This window comes from Homo sapiens, chromosome 4 (assembly GCF_000001405.40).
Source record: "Homo sapiens chromosome 4, GRCh38.p14 Primary Assembly".
Lineage (NCBI taxonomy): Eukaryota > Metazoa > Chordata > Mammalia > Primates > Hominidae > Homo > Homo sapiens.
The window spans coordinates 174,233,772-174,247,314 of NC_000004.12; the positions used below are offsets into that span (position 1 = coordinate 174,233,772).

At 33.2% G+C, this 13,543-nt stretch overlaps 1 protein-coding gene across 2 annotated transcripts in view; it reads right to left on the minus strand.

Moving 5' to 3' along the window:
* Nucleotides 1–2,886: 2,886 nt before the first annotated feature.
* Nucleotides 2,887–13,543, minus strand: part of FBXO8 (F-box protein 8) — a 47,010-nt gene continuing 36,353 nt past the window's right edge. Inside the window, exons 4-6 of one of the 2 annotated variants that reach the window (NM_012180.3) lie at nt 7,329–7,447; nt 5,223–5,419; nt 2,887–3,828 (exon numbers count right to left, since the gene is read on the minus strand). In NM_012180.3, coding sequence (NP_036312.2) covers nt 3,641–3,828; nt 5,223–5,419; nt 7,329–7,447 — 504 coding nt within the window. In that variant the 3' untranslated portion in view covers nt 2,887–3,640. Of the gene's footprint in view, nt 3,829–5,222; nt 5,420–7,328; nt 7,448–13,543 lie in introns of those variants that run through there. The other variant, XR_007096390.1, reaches the window with a different exon arrangement.

Genomic DNA, 13,543 nt, shown 5'->3' on the forward strand with positions numbered 1-13,543 from the left:
ATAGAATTTCTAGAACTAAAACATACAATAATTAGAATAAAAGTTCACTGAATGGGCTTAAAAGAAAATGAGTACAGAAGAGTCAGTGAGTTGGACTATACAAATCAAGTGAAAAAAATCCAATTGAAGAAAAAAGAGAAAAAAAGGGATGAAAAACCAAGAGCTTCAAAAACCTGTGAGACAATATCGAAAGGTCTAGCATATTCATAAATGCAGTCCCAGGAGGAGAAGAGAAAATGAGATTGAAAAACAATATTTGATGAAATAAAGCACTCAGAGGAAAATTACATTTGTTCACAAGGGAAAAACTATTTGAACACTACTCTTCTCATTGGAAACAATGGAGGTCAGGAAACTGGAACAATATCCTTAAAATGCCAAACGTGGGGTGGGGGGAAGTTAATCTAGAATTATGTATTCAGCAAAAATATTCCTCAGGAAGGAAAACAAAATAAAGACATTTTCAGATTTTAAAATTTGTCATACTTAATTTCCAGCAGATCTGAACTATAGATGTTAAAGTTTTTCAGTTTGAAAGGAAAGATGCTACAAGGAAACTTGGATTTTTCAGGAAGAAATAGAGCATCAGAAATGATAATTTGGGTAAATATAAAAGAGCATTTTTTTAAATTTAAAATATATATGTCTGTTCAAAGAAAATTATAACATTATATTGTGGAGTTTATAACATATACGTAATACATTTAATAAGATAATGGATGGGGTGATAGGGTAAAGAGGCTTACATGGTTGTAAGTTTTCGATGTTTCATGTTATATAGTACAATATTATCTGTAAATAGGCTGTAAAGTTGTATATTTTGAACTGGGTTTGCTTTGCCCAGGTATACATGCATTTGCGGAGACTCATTGATTAGTACACATAAATTTTACCTCAAACAAAAAAGCTGGCCTGGCACGGTGGCTCATGCCTGTAATTCCAACACTTTGGGAGGCCGAGATGGGTGGCCCATAAGGTCAGGAGATTGAGACCATCCTGGTTAAGCAAGAAATGTGGTCTTACTATGTTGCCCAGGCTGGTCTGAAACTCCTGGGCTCAAGCAGTTCTCCCACCTTGGCCTCCCAAAGTGCTGGAATTACAGGCTTGAGCCACTGTGCCTGGCCTGGTTAACACGGTGAAACCCCATCTCTATTAATAATACAAAAAATTAGCTGGGCGTGGTGGCACGTGCCTGCAGTCCCAGCTGCTTGGGAGGCTGAGGCAGGAGAATCGCTTGAACCTGGGAGGCGGAAGTTGCAGTGAGCCAAGATCGCACCACTGGACTCCAGCCTGGGCAGCAGAGGGAGACTCTGTCTCAAAAAAAAAAAAAAAAAAAAAAGCTAAAAAAATGATCTCTAGCTAATGATTTGCAAGTTTAATTAAGTCTTTAGGAAGGAAGTTACGTCTCAAACTTATTTTTAGCTGTATCAAAATAATTGATGGATAGAGGAATAGATAAACATGATTTAGTGAATACAGTAAAATTTTAATTGTAGAATCTAGGTGGTGAGTAGGCATTCTCTGCAAAATAATTCCACTTTTCTATTTTAAAATTTATTTTATTTTTAAATTTTATTGACACAGGGTCTCACTGTTGCCTAGGCTGGAGTGCAGTGGCAATCACAGCTCACTGCAATCTCGAACTCCTGGGCTCAGGCCATCCTCCTGCCTCAGCCTCCTGAGTAGCTAGGACTACGGACAGGTATGTACCACCACGCCTGGCTAATTTTTTAGTTTTAAGTAGAAACGTGGTCTTGCCATGTTGCCCAGGCTGGTCTGAAACTCCTGGGTTCAAGCAAACCTCCCACCTTGGCCTCCCAAAGTGCTGGGATTACAGGCATGAGCCACTGTGCCTGGCCCCACTTTTCTATGTGTTTGAAATATTCCTAAGAAAATGTTGGAAAAGGAAATATTGCCAATCCACATTTATAATCAAGTCAGGGTAGAAAAATAAAATAGGAAAAAGAAAAAAAGTTAGGAAATTGAGGATACAAAAAAAGGAAAAGATATAAGCTAAAACAGAAGCAGAGAGAACTGGATGGTAAGAGACAGGTATGAAGAAAAACAAAGAAGGAAAGACAGAAGGAGGTAGACAGAGGGAGAGGGCAAAGTGTTAATCACTGAAAACTAGGCATGATAGTAAATAATAGTTATCACCACCCTTTGTCTTTTGAAATGTAATAAAGCAGTTTTGAAGTTAAAAATTAGAATTGTCATGGAATTCAAAATTGTGCACATGCAAAAATGATTTGGATATTTGCTTCAGAATCTTAGAAATTATTTACTATCAGTCTAAAAGTCCCTTAGACATTCAAAATTTGATTATCGTATGTCTTGTCCTTGAAAAATCTGTAGTACAACATTCCAGTTGTAATATTGACAACCACTTTTGACTAAGGGTCAGATCTGGAAGGAAGCCAGGATTCAATACCTCTAGTAAGGAGTTTTTACCTCCCTCAACTCCCTCCTCTAAACTAGTAGCTCAACCCATCACATACTATTTCATTCCTAAGGTTATGCTTTTTACTTGGAGGTCACTTTTAACTTACCATATAACTACACTGTTCTCTATCATTCTAATGCTGCATATTTTAACTATTAAATAATTGTTAATTAAGATATACTTCATATAGTTGCTCTCCATTCAGCAGATTTTTTCTTCTCAGTACCCAGTTATGTATTATCTGTGAGAGCAGGGCCCATGTCTAGTACCTCGCACAATGTTAACACATGTAAAGCCCTGGATAGACATTCACTGAACCAATGAGTAAAGAGTGTTTACTGTTCTTCACAATATGTCTTTCTCAATGGACTCTGAACGGGGATCATCAAGATTACAAAAATAGTAAAGTTTGCATAATCACACCACATATAAGCAAGCAAACATTTACCAGAGTTCTAATAATATTTTATTTTATTCCTATGAATGTAAATCATAAATTTTGATGTTTTAAAAATCCTAAATGGTTTAAAGGACTTACCGAGACTTGATTAACCCAGTTTTTAAAATAAAAAATCAAATTATAAATTTATATTATAAAAATAACTGCCAGTTTTGCATAGTAATATAGTAACAAATCAACACTCTTCAAAGTTTAAAGGAAAAGGAAGCTGGTATTGGTTTCTGTCTGAAGTCAGATCTAACTTTTACGAAGACAATAGTTTCAGATCAGAATCAAATAAATTTCAGAACTCAGTTTGAGAGAAAAGGAAAAACTTTAGTTAAAATCTTTACAATAAAATAATTATGACTATAAATCTCTTTAGTTAAATATGTACACATTACATGGTATTTGTATAAAGAATGGAAATGGATAAAGTTTTTCAGGCAAATCTAATGCACAAATACACCATCTTTTAGAGTATAATGTCAGTTTATCATTCGTTAACAGCTGTGTTAGACAGTGGCTCTGCTTTGTGCAAAACGTGATAAACAAAATTAGGAAAAATTCTGCAAAATTATTTAGTTCCCCAAGGAAATTACTAAAATAGAAAATGGCAAAAGAAAAAAAGGTTGCACACTGAAGCTTGATTGTATACTCAGGCTACAATGACCAGCACTGATGTAACCCCCATATCTGCTAAGTCCTTGGGTAGCTTTAGTCTGAAGTAAAAACTGAAGTCCTAGCAATTGTGCTTTTTATGCAGCCACATGGCCAATAAGGTAGATATTGTCATAAAGATGCCCTACAAAATCTTCACTAATATTTTGAGCAGCGCGACGGGTATTTCGAATAAATTCCCTTTTTGACATTTTATTCTTCACATGAGGGCTAGTGAGGTCAATGGAAAGTAGAATCAAAGAGTAGCACAGTACATAGACAGCATCTGGAAAGAAAAAGAAACAGTTCAAATTATTAGTTGGTTTACAAAATATGATTCCAATGGCATTATATAAGGCAAAAATGTTCATAATTTCAAGATATCAAGATTAGCTCATAAATACAGAGTGACCAATCCATCCCAGTTTGTCTAGACTCTTCCCAGTTTTGCACTGAAAGTCCTGTCATCCTGGGAAACTCAATCCTGAGCAAACCAGGATGGTTATCATCCTATCTTAATACTAACTAAGCATGCATTTCCTTCATTTCAAAAGAACTTTAGAACAGTTTAGGAGTGTATAGTAAAAATTCATTCTAGATTTAAAAAATTTAGAATTGGCTTTATTTTCGTCTTTGCTTTCAAATGTGATATTTCTATTCAAACATCCATAAAATACATTTGTATTTATCTCCTCTTTCTAAAAAAAAATTTATATAGAATGCTTTCATAAAAACCTATTTTAATTTGAGAGCATCTTTAATGACAAGAAAACATGAATCTGGTACTAGAAAATAAAATGTAAATAACTCAAAAGATTATTAATATTCTCATTTAAGATGTTATAAAGGCCTGTGGAACTTACATATTAATTTTGAAAGCAAATCTTTAGGGAAAAGACTGCTACACCTGAGCACCATGCAACAAGATTTTATATATGCCTAGGGTAATATTTGATGTTTAATATTAAAATAGTAACAATCGTCATAATAGTTCTACTACTATAGTGCTGATATTTCGGAATCCTGCAGTCTTAAGAAAGCCAAGTTGAACATTATGTCTTGTAAAGCATGCTCAACAAATTTCACACGACAGGAACAGTTTTGTAATTTCTGTTTAATCAGATAAGCACAATAAAATTTTTGATATGAAAAGATAAGCTATATGAATTGAAACAATATGTAGAAGATTCAGGCTATATCATAAGCATACAAACATACACATATAGATAGAAGTACACACAAACAGACATATATAACAACTTTATATATATACAAATGTCTATATGTCTATATGTGTATATAGACATAGACACAGTCTATGTGTATGTCTATATGTGTATATAGACATAGACATTTGTATACATATAAATTTGTAATATATATATTTATATATAAATTTGTAGGTAATATATAAAAAATATAAATGGCTATATATACATAGCCATGTATATATATATATACACACACACACACACACACACGCACACCATAGCTATGACAAACTGTTTTTTCCAAGCTCCCATAAATGATGAAGTAGTCAGTCACTGCTACAAACAGTAAAACAAGTATTTGTAATTACTGAGAATATTTTTCCCCACAGTGAGACAAATGTCTCATATATCTCTGTTTTTACCTAAAGATGGGCAGGGGGTGATGTACTATTAATATATATATTCTTACCAGGACTAAGGCCAAGTTCTCGCATTAAATCAGGGTTGCAAGCACAGAATCTATGTGAGAACTTTGTTATAAGAGTTTCAAGATACTCTCCACGCTCTTCAGGGGCATGGATATGACGAAAAAATTCTCTCAGTGCATTTGGCAAGAACTGATTTCTAAAATTATGCAATGTTACAAGGTCATCCAAGACATCTCTCCTACAGAAAGAAAAAAAGGCACAGCTTTGGTTAACTTTTCTTCATTAAAAAAATGGTAAGAAAAATAACAAATTTCCATTTTTTGGATAAAATACCTTATTACTGATTACTAGATCAGCTAATCCTATAAAAGTATATATAATTCCCAACATTAAAAAATCTAAGTATGATTATTTAAGAAGTTAACTTTGAAATCTCTCATGAGTAGTTTATGACAAAATGAAACAAGGTAAAACCTAGTAATTTTACTTCTAAAATGAAGAAAAAAGGAATTCTGCAGTATTAAAATGAACAATTTCTTTTTAAGTGCCTTCTTGGCCAAATCCAAATAGCAATAGAATTGTTTATTTTTCAAATTATGAAAGTAATGACAGTCTCCACCTATACCAATTCACATCTTCAGAGGTAAAAACTATTTACATAGACTTTTAAGAATGCCTACATATGCTATATATTGTTTTATAATTTGTTTTTGCTTTTTTCACATAGTATATTGTGGACAGCTTTGTATATCTTTATACCTAGATCCACCTAATTTATTTTTAATGGCACAGTATCCTGTCTAATGGATGCAACAATCCTATTGATATACATTTAGCTTATTTGCTATAATATAAATATATGTGTGTGTATATCTAATTTTTTAAAAAAATCACTAGCATTTCAATATAGAGTCACACTTTGTTACAATGTCCTTCAATTCTTATTGAACTCAATCATGATTTTATGATCAAATCTTCAACTTCTACCAATTGCATATAACAGGAACAGGCGAACTACAGCTACTGGGCCAGATCTGGCCTGCTGCCTGCTTTTGTAAATACAGCTTATTAGAACACATCCACACTACTTTATGTATTGTCTATATCTGCTTTCACCACAGAATGGCAGAGTTTTAAGTAGCTGTGACAAAGATCATATGACCCACAAAACCTAAAATATTTACAAAAAAAAAAAAAAAGAAGAAAGAAAGAAAAAGAAAAGAAAGAAAAAAACCCCTGCCTATCCCTAGGTACTTGGCACTTAAAGACAAAAAAACTTAATGATGCGATCTTTACATCTTTCAATGACCAGGATGCTGGACTCTGAACTTCTCAAAGACAGGGACTGTATCTTAATCATCCGTGTGCTACTACTCTAGCAAAGTTTCTGGAATATAATGAATATTTACAGATTGCTGTTGAAAAATACTGATATATACAAAAGTTTGAGAATTACAATGAAGGTAAACTATTTTTAAGCCATACATTACATTAGCACGAGAGCTATAATTTTAAAAATGGTAGTTCAGTTATGTGGCATCAAAATGTTGTCCCCAAATTTATGTTCTTTAATAATCAAAAGTAAAGTGTACAAATGAATAACTATCAAATCAGAACAGCATACTAACCATCATCTCTGTGTAAAACTGCTAAATGTTACATTTTCATAATTTTCACACTTGAACATAACATTTCTATATAGTGTCTACATGCAAATATATATACCTTATATCCCTAGGATTTGGGGTTTATGACTATAATCTGTCTTTGTACTAGGTTTTTTATATGGATAATTTCATAATTCAGAATTTTTACCACTATAAACACTTAGATTATGGCTACTTGTCTTAAAAAATCAGGGTTGCAGATTCCTGAAAAATATTTTGTTTTGGTTTGCTATTACAAAGACGTTGGGCTTCCATTTTGTGTACATGTGGACTTTTACTTACTTTTAAAATGGTAACTTCCTCATCAACAAGTCAAAGCTCACGAAAGAAATGATGTGTGAGATATAGGAATCTTTTCCCTGTCTTTATTCAATTTTGCAACCAGATGATTACTATGCAGTATTAGTTTTAAAGTAAAACTTAACTCATCAAAAACATTACTTAACTCATTTTGGATGAAAAGTTAATTTTCGTTTTTACCTTTCATCAAGATAGATTCTCAGTTTTTTCCAATTTAGTGTTCTTGTACAGAAGATAAACTTTGCTATTTCCTTTGGCGAATCATCCAGGATACCCTTGGACATAAAGTAGTTCACTCCCTAAGGCAGAAAGACAAGTCTACATAAATAAAATTGCTCTTTATTTATGCATTTTAACAATTAAGCAATAGCACAACAGTAGCTATAAATTCTTTCCAGCATTAATAGACTTTTTGTAGCTTTATCATGCAAAATACAAGCTAGAACTTGAACTGAAACTATTGTTTGTGGTTGATAGTTTACATGCAATGAAAAGCAGGAAATTCAAAGTTAAGACTGTTAAAGAAATCTTATTTAATTTTCTGGCTCATGTCAGGTAAAACTAACTATACAGAAATACGGCCTAATTTGGGGAAGGGGGCTGCAGATGAAACCACAATACAGACGTTAAAACAAGCCTTTTAACAAACACTTCTGCTGTCTAATACAAAACATGATTTCTTAAAGCTCACATATATATTGCAGTATGCCTTTCAAGGAAAGAGCTTCTTGATAAAAAAATGCTCCAAATGAAAGACTAGCAATTTTATTCTGGGAGAAAAATATTAAATTATTTAACTTAAAGTAAAGGAAGCCCAACTCCAAACCAATGTATAGGTTGTACTACTTTGGCTTTAAACATTGCTATGTTCTACAAAAACCTAGCTACAATACACACTGAGGGAAAACATAGTAAGACAAAACAATTCAATGTTTTTCATAGAATTTATCTTTGAATTTCCTTTTCTCTGCATGCAAAGTTTTCCAGAGAAGCATTACCCATAAGTTTTTACCTACTTTAGATTTAAACCACCACCAACAAAACACCACCAACAAAAAAATCAAATGCTGAAAACAGTATTCTCTCACATATACAGAGGTTACATTCAAATAAATGTCTTCGCTGGATTTGAATGTGCAGTTATTGAAATAAAAGGCAGGTGGGTTTATTTCAACTTGCGGTTATCCAGATACATGCATTCCCATGAATACTTATGTCTGGATACTAGCACACTATGTGCCGTTAATTGGCAGAGAAAATGACGTATTATATACACACAACATAATGTTTTCACACATAAATTCCTTTGGCATTTCTTCACTTTACAAACACTTACATAGTACTCAGAAATATTACACACATTAAGAATTTTAAAAGTTGGAAGAATATCTATAAAAACCTTTTCAAGATAAAAACTTTCTCATAAAACTTTTATGGTAAAAATTTTTTTTAAGTAATTAGGTACCACGAGGTAATGCTTTTGAAAGGTTATAATTATCTATAAGTTGTAATTCAAAGATCAGACTTTTTATATAAAACTAACTTTATGAGCCATCAACATAATAGCCTACTAGCAATTCGATCAAATTTTCATGTGAATTTTAATAATACAAAAGCAATGCTAAGGCACTGATTTTAAAAATGTACATGAAGAAAAGAACGTGATAACGTGAAACTTTCTTGTCAACTCTGTTGTAACCTGTATTTCAGACTAAATCCTGAATACAAGGGCTAGAAAATGTAATATGATAAGATGGAAAGCCAAAATACTTCTTTGGAATGAGGCTTTCATCAACTGTCCGAGGGGGCAGCAACTAGAAAACTGTTAATGCTTGTTCTATCCTTTCCTCCATTAGTTTGAATAATCGAGAGTTGACTGTATACTCAATCTGCTTAGCAAAAGTCAGGTTTGTTTCCAAAATTCCTCAGTGTAAAAGGATAACAATATTTTAGAATTATTTCCAGTATTTAATTTTAATTGAAATGATTTAAAAACAATGTCAATTAAGCATTATTTAATAGATTCTTTATTCATACCTAAATCAGTATCTGAGATGTAGAACTAATGCTAAGCTACTTTTTAAAAATTGTGCAAAATAAACAAACCTACTAATAGTATACATTAATGATATCTAATTCTCTAGTTACATAATCTATGCCACTTTAATATCATTTGGTGATAGTTATAAATTAACACTGGTATTTGCCTCATGTAAACATCATAAAAATACACTGTTAGCCATATTCTGTTTTATAAAAAACACATTTTGAGAATTTTATATCTAATCTAACCTCAGTTCTCCCAAATCAATCAAATACATAGAAGCAGTCATGAGCACAAAGAATTTTAAATTCAATCCTGAAAATTGGGAACATAGATTGAAATAAGCCAACTCTATTGGTTTTATGAGGAAAAGAGGCATCAGGTTCAAGCTTGGGATTCCTTTGGAGAGGAAGGTTACTTTAGAAGGGCTACCAAAGTGAATGGTAAAGGAATAACAAATACAAAAAGACATGAGAACAGATTATAACTGTCTCTAATAAGCAAGCTGTAAGTCACCCAAATTCTTATCTTCTTATGTATTAGGTTGGTGCGAAAGTGATTGCGGTTTTTGCCATTAAAAGTAATGTCAAAAAACCGCAATCACTTTCGCACCAACGTACAATTAAATACAAAAAAATACCACAGCATGAGGTCTGTTGAATAACTACATATTTGTTTAGTAAGTGGTATAAACATTTTTAAAAATAAAATTTTAGAAGAATGGTACAGAGAAACTCCTAGACCACATAGCATATCAGTGACTAGTCAGGACTAGAACTCTGAGCAGTGTGTATGTGCATGGACATCTGTGCAGTGTCTCACATGCAAAGGAAATCATTAGTCTAGATATATATATATATAGTATTCTAAAGAAGGAAGGTTGTAGCTCAGTATAGTCTACAAAATTGACTATAAAAGTTTCCAATTTTGGGTGTCACATTTTATAAGGCATACTGACAAATTAGGACTTATCTGGATAAAGGAAATCAAGACCTGGTGAGATCGTTGAAGGCTGTAGAATTCATGTTATGTAAGAAAGAGCGGAGGGACATAGGAGTATTAGGCCAGAGAAGAAGATATACTTAGGAAAGAAGAAAAGATTAAGACTTTAGGATATCTAAAAGACTGTGTCACAAGGAAAAAGGAAAAGATGTGTGTGGTTGTAGTGAAGATATTAAGCTCTTTTGGGGGGCTATGGACCCTTTTGAGTACTAGGAAAGTCACAGAACTTCTTCCCAGAATAATGCACATACACATTTTTTAAAACAGAAATAGAGTTCCATCTAAGGACTGCAGGTTACAAATCCTTATCCTAGATGAGTATAGATGTAAAGTCAGGAAATCTCAATTATAGGCAGACAGATTAGTACCACATAAGGAAGGGAATGCTTGTAACTTTAGTTGAGCTGTTCAAAGACCAATCATTTGTCTTTGCTTGATTCAATTTTGTTGTTGTTGTTGTTGTTCTTACATTTTCAAAATAAGATTAAGCTTCAAACTCAGAACTACTTAAATTTGACCGTTTAATCTATACACATTTTAACTCCCATTTGCAACTCTGTTCAACTTTTAGAATTATCTAAATTGTTGCAGTCATAATGTAGTTCCTTTTTATTTGCATGTGGGGAGAATTCTAAGATAGTTTTGTCAGATAACTCTGAGATGAATCATGATGGTGTTAGTACTATCATGGGCTGAAACCATCATGATTAATCTCAGATACCTCCAAGCATAGAGATCAGCTCCTGTCAGGTGAAAGGAAACTACTGGCCAAAATATATTTTTAAAAAATAGTTTTAAAGGATAGTTACAGTGGGGTAAATAAAATTCCTCTTATTAAAATAGATATTAGGCCTCATATTTCTTGGGAAAATAAACTGGTAAATAATGTCCATGCTACTAATTAAAAATTTCCTAGTCATTTGATTTTTTTAAAAAAGTATCCAATTCACTTTACATTTAGATAGAAAGATGAATGCCTATAAGACTAGCTTGTAAAATAGATATATGTATATCTGTGCATATTTACATATATGCATCTGCTTTAAAATATTTTTTAAAACATGAAGCAATACATTAAAATTGTCCACATTTTATTTTTGAAACATATTAAACACAAGGTGTGATATGCAAGGTATTCAGTGATAGACACTGAGTAGTGTAACACAGAGTTTTGCCCTAAGAAAATTTAAAGTTTATCTGTGGCAATGAGACACATACATAAACATCTAGAATACACACGTGCCAAGGTACATCAATAATACATGGCAGTAGAAGAAAACCTAAATGAATGCTTATGAAAAGTAAGTGTTTCAGAGTTCAATGAAAGGAAAAGTCACTATGGGATAGGACGTTTGGATAAGGTTTCCTGCTAGAGATTAGACTGAAGTATTGTAAGGGGTTTAGACAAGGAATTTAAGGGGTTTAGACAGCTCTGAATGAGGGGAACACTGGAGAAGAATGTTCCAGTTAATACTGTATTATATGAGCAAAAGTAATATATAATTTTTAAAGACTATTTTTAGGAAGGCAGGGGAAATATTTTGGGTTGGAGAGTAAATGTACAACCAGACTATGACAGTGACAGAAATAGTGCTGAATTTTAGGGTAAGAAGTTTATTCTCTATCCTAAATCTAACTGGAAGCCTCTGAAGGCTTTTAAACCTGATGAAGCAATGGGCTATAATGTGAATTTGGCAGCAATATAAAGATAAATAATGAAAGAAAAATTAGATAGTGGGCTATTCAGCGGAGCACTCACTTAAAAAATAAAAATAAATAGATAGCGGGCTATACAACTGTATATGTTACATATATGTTACATATATGAAAATAACTTGATAAATATGCTGACTATCAAGCCATGTGACAGTGAAAAGTGAAAGACAGCTGATGGTTCTGGCTTAGATGAAGAGGGAAATGACTGACAGAAAAATGATGGACAGGTCAAAAAAAGTCAAAGAGGGTGTTGATTTGAAGAAAACAGTGATGAGTTAGCTTTTAGACATGTTGAATTTTAGGTGATGACAGATATAACTAGAAAGGCATAGTAGGCAGTTGGTAATGTAATAGGATATATTTTAAAAGTGAGGGTTGAAGATATAGATTCAGGATCTTGGATAAGAAGGATTAGTAAGGGAGTAATGAAGAGAATGATAGAATAATGTTCCAGAAGCCAAGAGCCTTCGAGTTAAAGAACAGGGTGTCTAGTGCAATTATGCAGTATGATGGAAAGAGCACCATTTTTAGGACAGGGACCAAGCCATGGTTCTGCAACTTAATGATGATATGAACATAAACAATCTACACAATCTTCCTGAGCCTCAGTTTCCTAATCAGTAAAAATCTCAGTGGGCTAAGTGCATAGCAAAAGGAACACAGCTAGTTTTCTTTTTCTTTCAAATAGCTGAAGGATACTAGAATAGGAAGAGGGCACTGAGTTTGGTGACTGGGAGGAAAGAAGTGACTTTCAAGAGGTCTCTTTCCACACTGTAGCAGAGGCTGAAATCCAAGAAGAAAACAAAAGAATGAGCTCAAGGTAAGGAAACTGAGTATTGTCCACTCACTTGAAAAATATATTAGTACAAAGGAGGAAAAAATGGCAAAATTAAAGGGAAAAAAGAGAAAGTATTTTTTTTTCAAGATAATTATGACCTACTCATGTTAGAAGACAAAAAGAGAGGTCAATGCAGACAGGAAAAGACTGATGTGCGGGAGATTTTGCTGCAGGGGCAGCAAAGCCGATAAAAAGAGAGCAGGGGAAAGGTCTGAAAATACTGCTGGAGTTTATAATGATTAGCCTGGGGGACAGCACAGTAGCACCGGCTCAGAGACAGCTACAGTAAGAAAGTGAAAAGCAGAAAACAAAGAACATGTTGGTTTCTTTCTTAGGTCTATCTGGGGAGCATTGGAAAAGAGAGGGCTGATTTGGATTCTTGGGCAAAGTGGTGAAGATTTCTATCAACAACGATGCAGGATATGACTGGATATGACTGGGAATTCACTAGGAATAAACTAAAGGAGTGCCAAGCAGCAGTGAGAATCTAGGTGAAGTTAATGTGAATTCAGCCCATCTCTTGTTAAGGTTAAGCAAAATCTACCATACATATGTTCAGAATCAGTAAATATATATTTGGGAACAGAGTGAATTCTAGAAAATTAGACATGCAAAGCCAAATGAAAAAGTACTGATAATTGGTACTGAAAGTACTGTCTACTGCCACAGACACCTGGCACACACATTGTGTAACAGTTGGTATCAATAAAAGTTACATGATGTTTTGTTTTGTTTTATTGGTGTCACTAATAAAACAAAACTGTCACATACTAGGGAGTACCTTTAATTTTTTTC